This window comes from Homo sapiens, chromosome 10, assembly GCF_000001405.40.
Source record: "Homo sapiens chromosome 10, GRCh38.p14 Primary Assembly".
Classification (NCBI taxonomy): domain Eukaryota; kingdom Metazoa; phylum Chordata; class Mammalia; order Primates; family Hominidae; genus Homo; species Homo sapiens.
Genome location: NC_000010.11, coordinates 88,328,301 through 88,345,792, shown reverse-complemented (window position 1 = coordinate 88,345,792; position 17,492 = coordinate 88,328,301). Strand labels below are relative to the sequence as shown.

Sequence of the window (17,492 nt, the reverse complement as noted above, 5' to 3'; positions counted from 1 at the left end):
CTAATAGCTCTGTGATCATGATTAATCTTCTTAATCTCTCTGAGCTTCACTTACTTACCTGAACTGTAACTATAATGGCTCCCAGAAATGTTATAAAGATTGAATGAGATAGTATATCCAAAACTTCTAATATCATGCCTGGCACATAGGTGCATAGTAAATGCCAACTTTATAATTGTTGTCACATACAAATTATTTTATGGTTTTGGTCCATTAGTTATATAAATTTTTATTTTGAGAGACAGAAGAGAGAATGACACACTAATAGTGCAGGTTTAGTTAAAAATCACCCTTTGTTAAAAATAATACTTATACTTACACATTAGGAAGGCTAAACAATATCTTATTACCTGAATAAGTTATTAAACTCAGAGAACATGAAGTTAGATGCAGTTCTTTTTATGGGATGTCAAATCATTTTTTGAATAAGAATTTTTCCAAAAAAAATTTACACTACAAATAGTCTGAGAAGACTAAGCACTGTGAAGTAAATCGTTAGCAAATCAAAGAGCTGAGACTAATTCAAGAGCAGGTTTCGAAGTCTGACTGCAGAATCTCACCACAGGAAATCACTTCATTGCGTTTCATAAATACTTTATATCAGTTAGCATTTTTAACTCTGTTCAGAATCACCAATCCATCTTTTTGCCCAGATGTGACATTATTGAGTAAATTGAGCCTAAAGAGTCCTTTGGTTTATTACCAGTAAATTTCTTGTTATTAAGTGAGCTGAGAAGGCTTTTATATGCCCTCTAAAATCGTATGTGGGCCCTGCTATTTTTAATTGTCATTGCCCCTACAGATTCCATATATGTGCTCATTTATATAATGAGAAGAATCCATATGTACTGTACAGGACATTGAATTCCCTGCATAATATGAATGAATATTAAGCACTGGAATCAGAAAAGAATCTCTTGAAATTCCATTAATATTTATAACTGATCTGTGGGACTAGGGGAATTCTTTAGTATAAAATATTCCAAATTCATGTTTGTAAAAAATGAAGCATCCTTGAATTTAAAATATAGTTTTCCTCACTAAAATAGATTTCTATTATAAATATAGCAAGTGAATTCTTGCTGTTGTTATATATCCTTACATTATTTAACAGAGTCAGGAAAGGCACTTTAGAACCTTGAGGTCAGTTGAACCTAATTCACTCTTTTTTATTAAAAATAAAATGCCTATTTGTTTACTGTATTCATAATAGTAGTTTCTCGGGAGTGGCTAACAATATCATAAAGATTATAGTCCCTCTGATTTAAGAGCTTTTGCCAAAATACCCAGATCCAATCGTTGTTTTTCCTGTCAAAATATAACAGGAAGAGTAACTCCATTTGTCTTATTAGGAAAGAAGATAAGAATGTCCACAGTAAACCAGTAGATTTCCTCCACAAAAGGAGCCAGGAATATTTTGACACTATCATAAATAAAAATTTCACCATCTGCTTAGTCTCAATTTTTCAAATTCAGCATTTTATAATGTCAAGGCAAAAACTTCTCTTTACTAAACCAAATGGATGACAGCAAAGCTTTAGGTCAAATCCCCCAGCCCTGAGATGTATTTTGCTCATTTGAGCAGCTACAAATCTAAAGCTGAACCCAATTATGCAACTGCAGTGATAAAGTGATATCCTTAGAGGCAAACCAGTATGCTGGCTCAAGGGGAAAACCTTGCCCAATTCAGGAAAATAGTCCAATCATAATACCACTTAACACAAAATTTCATAGAGGGCATAATGCTGAGTAGGCCAAAATAACAATGTATAATAAGGGGTGGCTGCATACTGCTGGTGAGTATTGGGAAAGTGGAGCATTTTAGTGGACTGTCATCATAGAAAACCAGGGCTTTTTTAGGCATTGTGGAAGGAGAACTCCAGTGAGAGCCTGGAAAACCAAATGTGAGTTAGGACAAATCCTCTGCTCCAGGGACGTTTCAATTAAAGGACTATTGAAACCCTTTCGTTTTTCCTTTTGGCAGTGCAAATAAAAGCTGCAACAGACTGAAAATCTCCTTGTGTCCCAGGATAAATAGATGTTTTCATGAAGCTTGGGAGGTGTCGGCCAAAGAAAATCTTCTCCCAAACAGATCCTGAAATATATGCAGTCTCACTAAATGTGGCCTTTTCTTTGAATGGACAGAATCTATGGAATTTTTAAAGGAACGAATACAAGGAAAATAGAGGAAAATTATCCCAGCCCTGGACAGAAAGTAGAATTCAGAATATATTTTTGAGAGTTGTTTTACTCCTTTTTTGTTGTTTTTGGAAAATATATATATATGTTAAGATCAAACTTACGTTCATCACTGGCTCTTGATTGCCTACTTTCATTATTCTGAACTTTTTCCTCCCCCATCTTTCCCATTTTTGAAAATGGAGCCACCAATCTCCTAGCTTTTTTGGGCAAAAATCCGAAATCATCCTTGATATTTTCCACTCCTGCACCACAATATGCAATCTGAAACCAAATCGTATTGATATTTTTTTCAAAAATAGACTTTGAATTCACTTCTCTTCATCGTCACTGTCACTGTCAAGACACTGTCTTATTTTAACTGGCTTTTCCATCCTTGCCCCTTTCCAGTTCATTCTTCAAATAACCAGAATGGTTTTCTTAGAGCACACATCTGTTCATGCCACTCACTTTCCTGTTCAAAGCCCTTTAATGCCTTCCCTTTGCACATGAGATTAAATCTCACATCCTTAACATGGCTGGCAAGGTCCTGAATGATCTAGTACAGGGGTCAGCAGATGTTTTATAAAGGCCAGATACTTTAGACTTTGCAAGCCATACAGTCTGTTGCAGCTACTCAAATCTACTGATGTAACCCAAGCAATAGACATATAAAAGAATGGGCGTGGCTGTGTTCTAATAAAACTTTATTTACAAACACAAGTGGCAGGCCAGATTTGGCCTGAAGCCCATAGTTTGCCAACCCCTGATCTCACTATCTCCTCACTCCTTAGCTCTCCAGTCACACCTCTCTTTCCTCCCATACTTTTTTCCACCTCGAGACCTTTGTCTATTCTGTTCTCTACCTAGACTGTCTCAGTTTAAATGTCCTTTCCACAGAGGGCATTCCTGAAGTCCTAATTTAATTAAAATGGTTTCTCTATTTTATTTTTATGATTTATTTTATACTTATATTTTAATTTTCTGTAACTATACATTGATTTATGTGATTATGTGTTTAATGCCTGTTTTACCTTCAAGTTGTAAGGTCCATGAATTAAGAAATTGGATATCATTGTATCTCTAGCACCTGGCACATAGCTTAATACACAGTAAATTCTCAATGAAATGTTTGTTAAGTAAATAGTGAATTAATGAGATCTGATCAAAACAAGGGAGCAGAAAACAAAAGATAACAATTTGGGAATCTGAGATCTGAAATATGAGATGCTTTTCTTGAGTTCATTTATTCCTAAGGTAGGTCATTTTAAAAGTTCTATACTTGAAATAGGGAATATGTATTAACCAGGGTGATGAATAGGCATGTCCCAAATCTTACTGCTACAAAGGCGCTTGTGGCTGACACACTGTGGCTTACACAAAGTCAGATGCAGGTTGAGCAGCTCTACTTCATCTGGTAGCTCTGCCACTTGGAAGATAAGCCCCAAAAGTCAGCCTGGAAATAGGAAAGAAATGGAGGAAGCACAAGAGCTTTGAACAGCTTTGGCCTAAGGTTGATACACTTTACTTTCCCTCCTAATCCATTGACCAAAAAAGTATTAAAAGTAATGGTAAAACCACAGTTACTTTTGCACCAACCTAATAGTTACATGGCTGCAACTTTCCTGCCAAGTAGACTGGGAGTACTCAGGGAGCACCTAGAATATGTGGTGAGTAGAAACTATCTTTTTGAGAGAATATAAAAAATCTTTTAAATATATTTCCTAATATTAAGGAAAATTGGTTATATGAAAATACTATAAACCTCACAGATTAGTATGAAATAGGTTATATCTTTTACCATTTGTAAAAAGCTTTTCTTAAGTTTTATTTTACAATTTAGTACATTTAAGCTAGCATCTCACTTGGTAGTAAACCTGGGTGTCTTCCTCTCATGCTTCCCTCAGGCTGTTTTCCACAAAACCCTTTAAAGTATGGTAGAGCAAAATACTCATTTTTAATAATTTCATGTTATGAGCCATGATTTTTCTATGTACTCTATGTTTTGGTTACTTTTAAATAATTATATGGCACGTTTCTTTTTACAAGTAAAAGATCAAAATAAAAAAATTGACTGTAGTGAAATGATCTTCACAAGAAAAGGAATATATATGTATGTTCTCTTTGCCTCTGAAAGTACTTATGTCTACATAAGTAATTCATTGTTTATACATTCAGTGTCTATTTATTGCACTCCATGGGCTAGGCATTGTTCTAGGTATTCTGGTGAATGATACAGCCAATATTCTTGTTTGTTCTCATTCTTTTTTTTTTTTTTTTTTTTTGAGATGGAGTTTTGCTCTCATTGCCCAGGCTGGAGTGCAATGGCATGATCTCGGCTCACCGCAACCTCTGCTTTCCAGGTTCAAGCAATTCTCCTGCCTCAGCCTCCCAAGTAGCTGGGATTACAGGCATGCACCACCACACCCGGCTAATTTTGTATTTTTAGTAGAGGCAGAGTTTCTCCACGTTGGTCAGGCTGGTCTCGAACTCCCGACCTCAGGTGATCCGCCCGCCTAGGCCTCCCAAATTGCTGTTTTTTGTTTTTTTTTTTTTGAGACAGAATCTTGCTCTGTTACCCCAGCTGGAGTGCAGTGGCACGATCTTGGCTCACTGCAACCTCTGCCTCTCAGGTTCAAGCGATTCTCCTGCCTCAGCCTCCCGAGTAGCTGGGATTACAGGCACGTGCCACCATGCCCAGCTAATTTTGTATTTTTAGTAGAGATGGGGTTTCACCATGTTGGTCAGGCTGGTCTCGAACTCCTGACCTCGTGATCTGCCCGCCTCGGCCTCCCAAAGTGCTGGGATTACAGGTGAGAGCCACCGCACCCAGCCTCTCCTTGTACTTACATTCTACAGGGAATATTAAAATATATTCCTGCATAATAATAAATAGTTAGAATTCCTTATAAATAAAATATCACCATGTTTAGTGTTTTCCTTTTTTCTTTTATTTCTACAAATTTCTGGAGTATATATATTTTAAAGTTTATGCAATGGAATGTTTATTGGATTGAAGAGGTAGTATCATAAAACAATGTCTTTTTATCTGACTGGTAATCCTAGTTGGGTCTTTAGAAATCCTTGAGTTACACTTACAGGAATGTAAAAATGTACCTTCTTTTAAAGAGACACTTGTAAACTTTGAGACTATATATACTCCATCAAAGAGAAAGGAAATGATCCTCTAATTTGAAATCAATCTCCTGAGGTTTATCCTCCATACGAAAGTATTTCATAGGAGAGATCTGTCTCACAAAACCAAATCTATTTCCTGCACTTGCAAGTAAAGTCAGAAGCCTAAAAAATGATGGAGAGGAATGAACTCTAACATGAGTTCTTGGCCAAGTGGAAAACTTCTCTGGTTCAGAACTTCCTAAGGCACCCTGCAGCAGGGATTCTGTAGAGCTACAAGGATTTTTATCCTGTGCTTGGGAACCTGGAAATCTCACCTCCTTGGTTTTCCACACTGGAAACCTTCAAGATATTGCTTCCTCTGTAAAGGTCTGAATTATTGCAAGATATTGAGAATTTCCAATTCAGTAGTTAGATGTGACTGGAATAATCAAAGAAGTCTCAAGTCCTAAGAACGAGGTGTAGGGAGAGAATGTTATCTAAAACGCCATGTGATATAGAAATGCATATGAGTCTTGAGCTGTCATTTACACAATGTATATCTGGGTGTCAGGGAAACCATGGATCTGCCTCACAGGTCTGCCTCACAGCCCAACATCAGCTTCTGCCTCCCTCTTGCTGTGTCAGTACATACATACATATTCACTTGTGTGTGTGCTAAGTGTGTCTCATCCTTTAGCAGAACTTATTTCTATATATGAACCAAAGAGAAGCATTTATAGTGGAATTTAGAATAATTTGTATCAGGAGTTTGAAAAATAAAAAGAAATGAAATTAAAAACTAGAACAACATTGCTCAATCTTTAAAACACCACACCTGTAATCTTAATTCAGCTTGTCCCTGGTCACTGTGAGCCAGGTACCATGTTGTGTGCTTTACATGTTTTATTGCATTTTATCATCACAACAACCCTATGAGGTAAATATTATTATCCCTATTTTATAGTTGAGAAAACTAAAGTTTAGAGAAATTAAGGAAGACCATGACTTCAACCTGAGCTTAGTTTGTCTCCAAATCGTACTTTTTTGATAAAAGTAAAAAAATCTCTGCCCTGAAGACCTTAATAAAAAACACCCCAGGAACACTTACTTCTTTCCCCACCACCTACTCTGCAACACATTGAAATTGACTGATACCTAGAAACTAGAGTCTTCTCTTTCATATCCTACCTAATCTATGCATTCTGTCATTTGTATAAAGAAAATAGCTGTAGCTTTTAAAATTTATTTGCTCAAGAAGAGATTATAACACCAAATGTGGTAGTTCAAACTTAACTTGCTCCCCTCACATATTTCCCAGATTTGGGTTAATGAAATCCTCAGTCCGTGTCTCTACCACAAATCCTCACATTCCACAGCCACCACCATGTCTACCATCCAAAATCCTGGAAATGGAAGAACCTTAGAAATCTAGCTTTCTGGCTGGGCGCAGTGGCTCACACGGTGGCTCGGCACTTTGGGAGGCCGAGGCGGGCAGGATCATGAGGTCAGGAGATCCAGACCATCCTGGCTAACACGGTGAAACCCCGTCTCCACTAAAAATACAAAAAATTAGCCAGGCATGGTGGCGGGCGCCTGTAGTCCCAGCTACTCAGGAGGCTGAGGCGGGAGAACGGCGTGAGCCCGGGAGGCGGAGCTTGCAGTGAGCCGAGATCGCGCCACTGCACTCCAGCCTGGCAACAGAGCGAGACTCCGTCTCAAAAAAAAAAAAAAAAAAAAAAGGAAATCTAGCTTTCCTACTGTCACTCACATGATGAGTGATATTCAAACTCATGGCATGATTCATGAAGATAACTCAAGTTATTAGGAATCCCAAGAAGCTCAGTGTTCTCTCGTGCTCAAGAGCACGTATATCAAACTACATGTGAGCAAGAGTAATGTTATTTTAGGGATAAACTTGGATTCATCTTAAGATATCTTTAAAAAGTATTATAAGTCATCCAGATTCTGTATATATCAATTTACCTGCTGTTAGTTACACATGACTTTCCATGGATCTGTGACGCTTGTGAATCACTTGTCCGTTTCAGTATGTGAATTGCATACATGTGCTATGTCAAGAACCGTTAGATAGTAGCAGAGCTAAACTAGACCAAAGCTTTCTTAAATAATGCAGTGCTTTTTCTTACCAAACTACAAAATAGTCCGTTGTATTTAAACTCAAAAGTAGGATGGAAGTGAAGGCCTAAAATTCACAGTGGCTCAAGGATTGAGAAAGCTCAGTTGAAGGGAAGCGTTTCCATCATTTTGGCCCTGCAGTTTCTTAGTTTTAGTCTCTTCTCTAAAGACACAAATTTCCACACTAGAAAAATCAAGGAGTGGTTGGGAAGGATGAACTTTTCTTCTCAAATCATCACTGCCAACTGATTTTTAGACTGCTGGAAAATTAAGGCTGAAAGAATAAGATGGACTTCTGCAACCCCTTTACTTCACATATGAAGAAATTGAGGCCCAGAAGAAGTGTTTCCAGTAATTATTTGGTCATGCTTTCTAAAGGAAATAGTCAAATCTAATCTTCTGTTTTACACTAGAGATATAAAGTAAGATTTGGGGGAGATGGGAGGAGGAGAAGGAGAGGGAAAAGAAAAAGAAAATAAAACTGATATTTGTAAGAACGAGCATAAATATGCCAGACACAGTACTAAAGGCTTCACACACTAGAATAGTTTAAGTTGCAAGTGACATAAAACTCATCTCAAATGGCTTAAGCAAGAAAAGGAGTGGGGAGACTTATTATTGTTCCTGAAAAATCCAGGAGTAAAGCTATAGGCAACTCTAGATAGATTCGATCAACATCATGCAAACTTAGCTTCTGCTCAATTTCTTGACTCTACTTTCTGCTGCATTGGATTCATTCATGATGACACCAGGTAGTACCAAGGATTTCAATGCCAAGTATGATTATTTTTAAAAAACAGAGAGAGAGCAAGACCATTTTCCTCAAAGCACAATAATTTTGGAATTGAGTCTTATTGACCTGATTGGCCTGGCTTTAGTTATGTACCCATTATCCAGCCAGTCACTGTGGCCAGGAGGGATGGATAAACTGATTAGTTGTAACCTAGGCTACTTTCATCAAGGCTGAAAGTAGAGGAGGGGTGATTCCCCTAAAACAAAATTTGGATAATGTTCCCCCAAAAGAGGTAGTGGATGCTGAGCAGCTGACATCCACCACACAGACGTTCTCTCATCTGGTCCTCCTAACTAGCCTGGAGGTCAGTAGTTAGTTAGCTACACTACATCATGCCATCCCTCAACAGGGTCCTGGATTTCTTGCATCTATTATGTAGATTACCAGACAGAAGACCTTTACCATCTGTGAACTGTTTTGAGCCCCTTCATGAGACCCAAAGCCAATCCAGTAGGAAAATAAAGATTAAAATCAATTTGTGAGGGCAATGTATTTTTTTCTCCCTAAAATAGGGAGTACTCTCTGCCCCATCTCTCAGGCCCAGCCTTGCCTGTCATCCCTCACCCCTATGTCAGCCTAATGACCTAATGTGTCAGGCTTAATGACCCCTAAGTCAGCCATTTCCACTGATCGCTTAGTCTATTATAAAGTCTTATCTAGTGTGATGATTTAACACAACACCTTGATGTTACATCTACTCCGCTCTCAGGGCTTTAGAATGCAACTACAATCAGTAGGAAATTATCCCTAGTTGCCCAACCCAGCCCCAGCTCTTGCCTTCCTACCCTGTCCCATAGCCTCTATCCAGCACCCGAAAGTATTGCTAAAATAGATAACATTTTGTTTATTATTCAGGTAGTTTATATTGCTGGTGAATGCTATCATTTACTTTCTCAGCTGACGAAGACAGAACACACTCTTGTGTGAACAATTTTTCATTGTTTACTGGAAGATTATTTCCTAAACTTGTATACATTTACTTATGTTGTAGCTATGGAGAAACATCTTCTGAAACTGGAAGTAGGAACTTTAGGGGAGTTCTCATTTTATTTTCAATTCATCGTGTGGGGTTTTACACACTTGTTTATATTTAACTAAATGCCTATCAGAATGGTTATCTTATGTGGAGTTGTTTAGAGGATGTCTGTGTGTCTTGTTTAAACATAAGAAATCCAAACTTATGTAGCCTTGAATAACAACGATTACAAACATACATGCGTATTAGTTTTAAAACTTCCCTTCCTAGCCTTTATTTAAAATGGCAAATGCATACATCCACAGATCTATTAGTACCCACAGGCCTAGAATAAACAAGTCAAAGACCTAAAGAAGAAAAGAAGCTAATAGGTGTGTCGGTTTTTTAAAAGCTAGTATTTCCACCTCAATGATAGAAAAGTTTCTTAGGGTTGCCTATGGAACTAGAGCTGTAATTGCTCTGCTGTGTGCATTCAATGCTGTCAGATTCTAAATGTGTCATAGCTTTGTCCAGTACTGCTGACCCTGCCGTGTTCATTCAGTAGATGGAGAAAAATCTTGCTTTATCTATCCATACTTCTTAGGTCCTGAGAACAGAACTGATACCTCATTCATTCATCTCTTCATCCAAGTATTCAACAATTATTCATTGCTTACCAATTGCCAAACCCCAAAGTAGTTACTATTAGAAATGTAAAATTGCATTTCTAAAATTTAATAGTAAAAGAATAAAACACTGAATAACAATCATCCTAGCTTTATACAAAACTGACATTTTCAAGTCTCTTTATATTTATTGCTAAAAATCAACCCATAGTGAGGCTTTGTTTGGCAGGAAAGGATCACAGAGCAACCTCTCTTATACTTCCAAACCCACAATGTAGTTATTTTGAACAAATTAAATCTGCGTTACCACTACATTCCACCTGCTTCTTATTTTTAATAAATGTGTCTTTGTCTAATGAACTAATATAGCTAATGAGGCAGCTCTTAGCCACCATTAAGTGAGGATTATAAAATTTTTGGCCTACATTTAGAAACAATTCACATGGGCCATCTGAAATGTAAAAGAGGGGCTGGGTGTGGTGGCTCACACCTGTAATCCCAAAACTTTGAGAGGCTAAAGTGGGTGAATCCCTTGAGTTTAGGAGTTTGAGACCAGCCTGGGCAACAGAGCAAGACCCCCATCTCTATAAAAAATAAAATAATTAGCCAGGCATGGTGGCACACACCTGGCAGTCCCAGCTACTTGAGAGGCTGAGGTGGGAGGATTGCTTGAGCCCAGGAGGTGGAGGTTGCAGTGAGCCAAAATTGAGCCACTGCACTCCAGCCTGGGTAATAGAGCAAGACATTGTCGCAAAGAAAAAAAAAAAAAAGTAAAAGAAAAGAAAGCTCAAATCAAAAAGTCAATGTACCAGTATACAATGTATTCTTTATTATGGAAGCTTATGCTTAAAGTTTATAAATCAAATTCACTGCTAAATGTGATGAAAGTATAAATAAATAGATATTTTGATAGTTTCACTTTTTAAAATAAATTTTAGGAAGAATTTGAAGATGACTGGAAAGACTTTGCTTATTTTAATGTAAGTTGTTGAAATTTTGACTGAGTTGGTATCTCACGTTAATTAATTTGTTAATTAACTACATATGTTTAGTTTGTGGCTTATAAGATAGCAGTTTTTTCCTTCTGGGACAAGAGTTATCAACTCAATGAACTTGAACTACAGAGGAAAAATTGCTTGCTCATTTTTTTTTAAGAGATTGAATGTTTTTAGCCTTAGACTTGATTGAGCTGTGGGTAGATTCAGATGATACTAATCACCTGTGGTTGAAATGCCTTCAACTCAATAAAATCATGATTTCAAGGGAAAAAAAAGAAATGTAAAATAAGACAATATCCATAAATTCAGGTACCCCTCAATCTAGAGGGGAGACAGACAAATAGACAATGAAAATACAATGTGATAAATACTGTAAGTGTGGAGAGCACTTTCCTCCCATCTACATTGTTTTCTGAAATCTGCATTTCCCATTGATGAAGTGAGGTACAATAAAACCTCAGTAACTCTAATCCTTTCAAATGAAGTGAGTCAGGCTTGATAGGTTGGTTTTTCAAATAGCATTTGATGAGCACTTATTGTGTGCCAAACCCTGAACTTCTCACTTTACATGGATTGAATCTGTACAGTAATCCTGAGGTTGGCATTGTTGTTTCTAGTGGGGCAAGAAAAAGTCAGATCTTTGGGAAAGAGTTTACAAATTGGATTTGTATGCAAAAATGCCACACTCATACATAACTAACTGAAAACTAAAAATAAAATAAGATATGTTTTAAACTAACAGATTAGCAAACATTACCCAGTGTTAAGAATGTGGAGAAATAAGAGCTCTCATTTACTATTGGGGGGATTGTGATTTTGAAGGGCCATTTAGCTATATCAGAAATAATTTTAAATATGCTTACCCTTTGACTCAGCAGTTCTATTACTAGGAATTTATCCTGGAGATAGTCTCACAGAAGTTCAACAAAGGTATGTGAATTGTCTTAGTCAATTAGTTTGTGCTCCTATAACAAAATACCTTAGACAGGGTAGTTTCTAAGCAGTATAAATTTATTGCTCACAGCTCTGGAGACTGGGAAATTCAAGATCAAGATACTGGTAGATTTGACATCTGGTGAGGGTTCACTCTCTCCTTCAGAGGTGGCGACTTCTTGCTGCATCCTCACACAGTGGAAGGGGGAAACAAGTTCCCTCAAGCCTCTTTTGTAAGGTCACTAGTCCCATTCAAGAAGTCGTAGCCCTCATGACCAAATCACCTCCTAACGGCCCCACCTCTAAATACGAACACATTGGAAATTAGATTTCACATACGAGTTTTGGGGAGACACAAACCTTCAGACCATAACAGAATAAATGTGTTTGTTGCAGCATTGTTTCTAACAGCAACAAACTGGAAAAAAAATGAAATTCCCAGCTCTGAAAGACTAGTAAACCATGGCAATTCATGTTATTAAATTAGGTAGGTCCCCATGAACTGCTAGAAATCTGTCCAAGATATGTTGCTTTAACAAAAGCAAGATATAAATGATAGCTATGGTAAGATTGTGTTTCCGTTATTAAACGGGAAGTAAATATGCGGGCTCATTTGTAGAAAATTTCAGGAAGGGTATTAAGAAACCACTGACAGTAGTTACCCTGGAGAATGGGGCTGCCAGTTCTGATACCAAAGCAGTACTTTTATTTTTTCACTTTATACACTTTCATCATGTTTGAATAACTTTTTAAAAAGTTTTGTAATTCAGATAAAAGTAGTTTTAAAACACCAAAAATAATTTAATAATATCTTTCCATTAAAGATTTACACTGTACATAACCATATCAGGGACCGAGAAGTTCCACTTAATTTTATTTAAGCCAGGCATTTCAAAAATATATTCGTCCAAAGAATTTTGTTGTTGTTTTGCCTAATAACTATTAATATGTCATGGTTCCTGTGGGAGGCACTGACTTAAGAAATTACAAAACAACAAGCAGCCTAAAGTCATACAGGCAGGGAGTAGGGAGACAGAATTTCAGACTCAAGATCTGAAGCTCAATTGATATTCCTCAAAAGTGTACAATCAGGATGGAGAAAGAGACCTGAGTTGCTTATGCTAAATGAATCATATCTTGTTTCTTAGGGGTAAAAACATTACTCCAGAATTTTCTATAAATCTTAAATGGTACATCATAGTTTCCTAGGAAGAGGTAGGTATAACCCTCAGCAGGAAGAGGAGAAAAAAACCACACACTTTTTTACTTGAATTATATTTCCTGACATTTAGAAGGGTGTCATTTCACCTCTATCATTTCCCCCTTTTAAAATAGATAGTTAACCTGTAAAAAGGGAAGTAAGGGTTTGTCAGGCAATTTTGGTGTCTGCTGACAAGAATACAATTTCCACATTCATTTATCTTTCTGAATCTTTTCCAGGCCAATTACCTTCTCCTATCACTTCTTTAGATCTTATAATCCTTAAGTCTCCCAAATGAGGCTGTTAATTCAAACCTCTTCAACGGTTTTAACTAGATATGTAAACAACTGCTTTTATCAATTAATATAGCCCCCTACCTCCAGGGACATAATATGGAAGAAAGTAAAACAAGTACTTTTCCTCAAAGATGACAGTATAAGAGTGAAATATGTAAAGGGAAGGACTGTGAGTAAAACCATCTTTTCTCCGCATGGCCCATGCCATCATTTCAGAAGTATTTACTTCCAGAACTTTACTCTTCAATTAAAACTGTAAAATTGTGTTGAATGATTATAAATACTACAAAAGTCCCTGCCGTAGATAAAGTTGGAGGTAACAAAGTTGCCCAGGACATATTTGGTGAGGAGTGTTATCATAGCTGAATTTTGGCTGCTGTAACCTATATATAAGAACTAGATCTGAGATTTTTAAAAAGCAAGTAAAATCTGCAGGTGGTCCCTCTGAATAGTGAGGCCTAGTTCTTGACCTGGGACCAGCAGTAGACACGCAGCCAAGGAGGTAGAATGCCAAAAGGCAGAGAGTACTTTGTGCTCCTTTGGCTTGGTTCTGCTAGCAAGGCAAGAAAGAGGAGAGAGAGACATCAGGAGCATGTTTACTTCTCTCTCAGCCTCCCTTTCCCATCTTTCTCCCCTCTCTCTCCCTGGCTATCTTTTATCATCCAGGGAAAGTTAGATTTTTTTTGTTGGACTTACTGATATGATTGGCTTGCTCTTCATTACAGGTGCTGCTGAGCCTGGGAGCCATATAAAAGAGCTAAATTGTAGTAACTCTCGTGGCTAGAGGGCAGTTGAGCCAGCCAGTTCCAAATGGACTGGAGAAGGGCAAACGTATCATCAACCTCCACCGCCATGAGAAAGGAGAGCAGACCACCACCCCTAAAACAGTGTGGCCCCCAGCTCCTTGTCCAACTTCTCTCCTCATGTGAATCTGTTTTCTGAACTAAGTCCTCCCCTTTACTTAGAACGTTCATTTGCACACACATCAATAGTATACCGTTTAGTGGATAATGATTCTGTTATTACTTTGCATGTGTTTCATTTCCCCCAGTAAGATGTAAACTCTTGAAAGACCTTAATACTGTGTCTCATGGCAACAAATGCCAGACACCAGGATGCTCATTTGACTGAATCAATAATTGAAGAAATATTTCACCCATTTCTTTTTGGTCTTGGTCTCTAACATTAAAGTCTTCCACTCCTTAAATTTCTTTAGTCCTCTATTTCCCTGTCAGAGATATAATTTAGAGCTGGCCTTTGGGAACGCAACCTCTGACCCTTGATACACACTGCCAAAAATTTAATTTTTCAGATGGAAAAAGTCTCTGATGTGTTTGCATGTGAATAAGGGTGTCCCAGGGAGTTTGAACTTTTAATATAAAGTTGTGAGAGCAAACCTAGGAGCAGAGATGCTGTATACCTAAGAAGGTACATTCTTCATATGGCTACAGAAGTAGAAAATTAGAAATGGGTGAGAAATGTGTCTCAGAAGTGGAAAAAGAATACCTAAGTTAATTTTTTCCTTATATCCAATTTTCTAGCCAATATTAAAATGCATTTGTTCCCCAGTGCTTTGTTAAGTTTCTGTTATAATACTTAATATGGTTTAGGATTTTTTTCAGAGATAACTATTCTGGTTCATCATTATTATTAAATAGTACCAGCCTATTTTAATTACTGTAGCTTTATAATGTATTTAAATATATGACAAAGCAAGTCTCTACTCATTGAATTTCTTTACAAAAAATTTTAAATATTATTATTGTATTTTACCTTTAGCGTCATTTTGTCAAATTGTAAAGGATGTTGCATAATTAATTAAAAATCATTTTTCTTACTAGTTATCACTGATATATAAGGAAATCAATTTTATGTAAAAATATTTCAACTTGATCAAGTTTATTGGATTCACTACTGTTTTCAACCATGTTTTCCTTCTTTCTAATAATTATACATCTTTTTTCCATTTTTTATCTTATTGTACCAACCAGAGCAATGTTAAATACTATTGGTGTTACTAAGAATTTTAGTTTCTGATTTTATTTAAAAAGCCTATATTATTTAATTATAAGATATGCTATAAACCATCAGCTTAAGAGAGATATTCTATCTCATTTTGAGGAAGTTACTTAACAAAATGTCTTACTGAGATGCCAAACCACAAACCCACCCTTAAGCAGATTTGGTGCCAGAATTCATTCTGCCAGCATATTGTATAAATCTAGTTAAAGTGGTCATGGGCAATATTGCCCTAAGGCCTCTGGCAGAAACCAAAGCACGTTTCCAAAGGAACATTATTTAAATGCAGGCACAAAGAATCTTTCAGATAAAGTTCCTAGGAGCATGAGCTCACAATAGAAATATATATGTATTATAAATAAACATATATAAAGAAATATATATAGAGAGAGATAATATAAAATTGTGTGTGTGTGTATATATATAGTGTGTGTATATATATTTATATTTATATATATATATATATATATCTCAAAACAGACAGAAAACCATGCAATTATGAGCAATAGTCGTCCAACAAGAACAACAACAAAAAAAGCCAGAGCCAACCTTATAAAGCCTGAAAATTTTGGAATAACCAGACACACAATATAGAATAACTATGTTGAATATGTTGGAAGAAATAAGAGTACTGACAGTATGACTAGGGAGAAAGAGACTATCAAAATTGATCATGCAGATTTGAAAAAGAGCCAAATAGAACGTTTACAAATGAAAAATAAAATAATTTAAATTTGAAACTCAAAGGACAAATTGAACATCAAAAAAACCACAGATGTAAGGAGAATGGTGAACTAAAAGATAAATCACAAAAAATTACACAGAATTTAGCATGGAGAGATAGAGATAGAAAATACTGAAAATAGATCAAAATATGTGAAGATAGAATGAGAATATCTAGTATATCCCTAATTAGAATTTCATGAAAAGAGGTTAGAGAGAATGGGAATAAGGAAATATTGGGAGAACTAATAGCTGAACAATTTCCAAAATTAATTACAAAATTAAGTCTTCAGATTCAGAAATCCCAATGAAGTCAACAAAGGTAAACCAAAAAAAACCTCAAATCTTAAAATAACTGAATAAAACTGCACAACATCAAAGACAAAGAAAAAACCATAAAAGCAGCTAGATATAAAAGAAAAATTAACTGCAAAGGACCTACAGCCAAATTAAGAAAGACCTCTCAGGCTGGACATGGTGGCTCACACTTACATCCCAGCACTTTGGGAAGCTAAGGCAGGAGGATCGTTTGAGGCCAGGAGTTCAAGACCACCTGGGCAACATAGCAAGACCCTGTCTCTATAAAAAATAAAAAACTAGCTGGGTGTGGTGGTCTTAGCTACCTGGGAAGCTGAGGCAGGAGGATTGCTTGAGTCTGAGAGTTCAAGGCTGTAGTGAGCTATGATTGCACCACTGTACTTCAAACCTGGGTGAGAGAGCAAAAAAAAAAAAAGAAAAACAAAAAACACTTGACTTCCTAACAGTCTCAAAAGAAGCTAAACTACATTGGTATCATATCTTTAAAGTCTTGAGAAAAATATTTTCAATTTATTATTATATACCAAGAAAAATTATATTTCACAAATGCAGATAAAATAAAGACATTTTAAGGAAAGCAAAATCTGAGAGAGTTCTATCTCCATTAGAAGTTCATTTTAAGAACTTCACAGAATACTTTTGGAAGAGGAAAATGAGCCTAGAGGGAGAATCTGAGATCCAAGAAAGACGCTTTTCATGAATAAAAACAAACATTAACTGTATAAGATAGAACCAAAGAAATAAAATAATCCTGAACAATAAAAGCATATAAACTTAGAGTTAGTAATCTAAGGCTCTAGTATTATTTAGGAGAAGGATAAAGGTATTTGTTCACTTTCAATTTTAATTTAATATGTATGCTTAAATATATCAGTATTCGCTAAAAATATAACTATATAATTTCCAAGATAGTAGAAGGGGAAAATGGAATAAAATGTAAACATGGTTTAATCAAAAAGAAGACTTTTTTGAATTTAAAAAAGAAACGTGCAAACATGCATGCTGAATAAGTGGGACAAATACAAAGAAAAAATACCCCTTAAAAAGCACATCTAGTTGTAAAGAGGTTCACAATGTATTGTTAAAATATTCAAACATCAGGAAACTATTAACCTAACTTAGATATAAAGCAAAAATTGTCAAGACTGAAAGCAGAAATTGGCAAATTTACCATCATCAGGAGAGATACTTCTTTCAAT

At 36.3% G+C, this 17,492-nt stretch overlaps 1 protein-coding gene and 1 long non-coding RNA gene across 16 annotated transcripts in view; one reads left to right on the top strand and one right to left on the bottom strand.

The window, feature by feature from the left end:
* LOC101929727 (uncharacterized) overlaps positions 1–17,492 on the bottom strand; it is a 248,010-nt gene that overhangs the window by 34,329 nt on the left and 196,189 nt on the right. The window lies entirely within an intron of this gene.
* RNLS (renalase, FAD dependent amine oxidase) overlaps positions 1–17,492 on the top strand; it is a 411,796-nt gene that overhangs the window by 237,526 nt on the left and 156,778 nt on the right. The window contains exon 6 of one of the 15 annotated variants that reach the window (XM_005269949.6): positions 1,985–4,284. The exons of the other annotated variants lie outside the window; for them this stretch is intronic. Coding sequence (XP_005270006.1) covers positions 1,985–2,010 — 26 coding nt within the window. The 3' untranslated portion in view covers positions 2,011–4,284. Of the gene's footprint in view, positions 1–1,984; positions 4,285–17,492 lie in introns of those variants that run through there. 15 annotated transcript variants of the gene reach the window in all.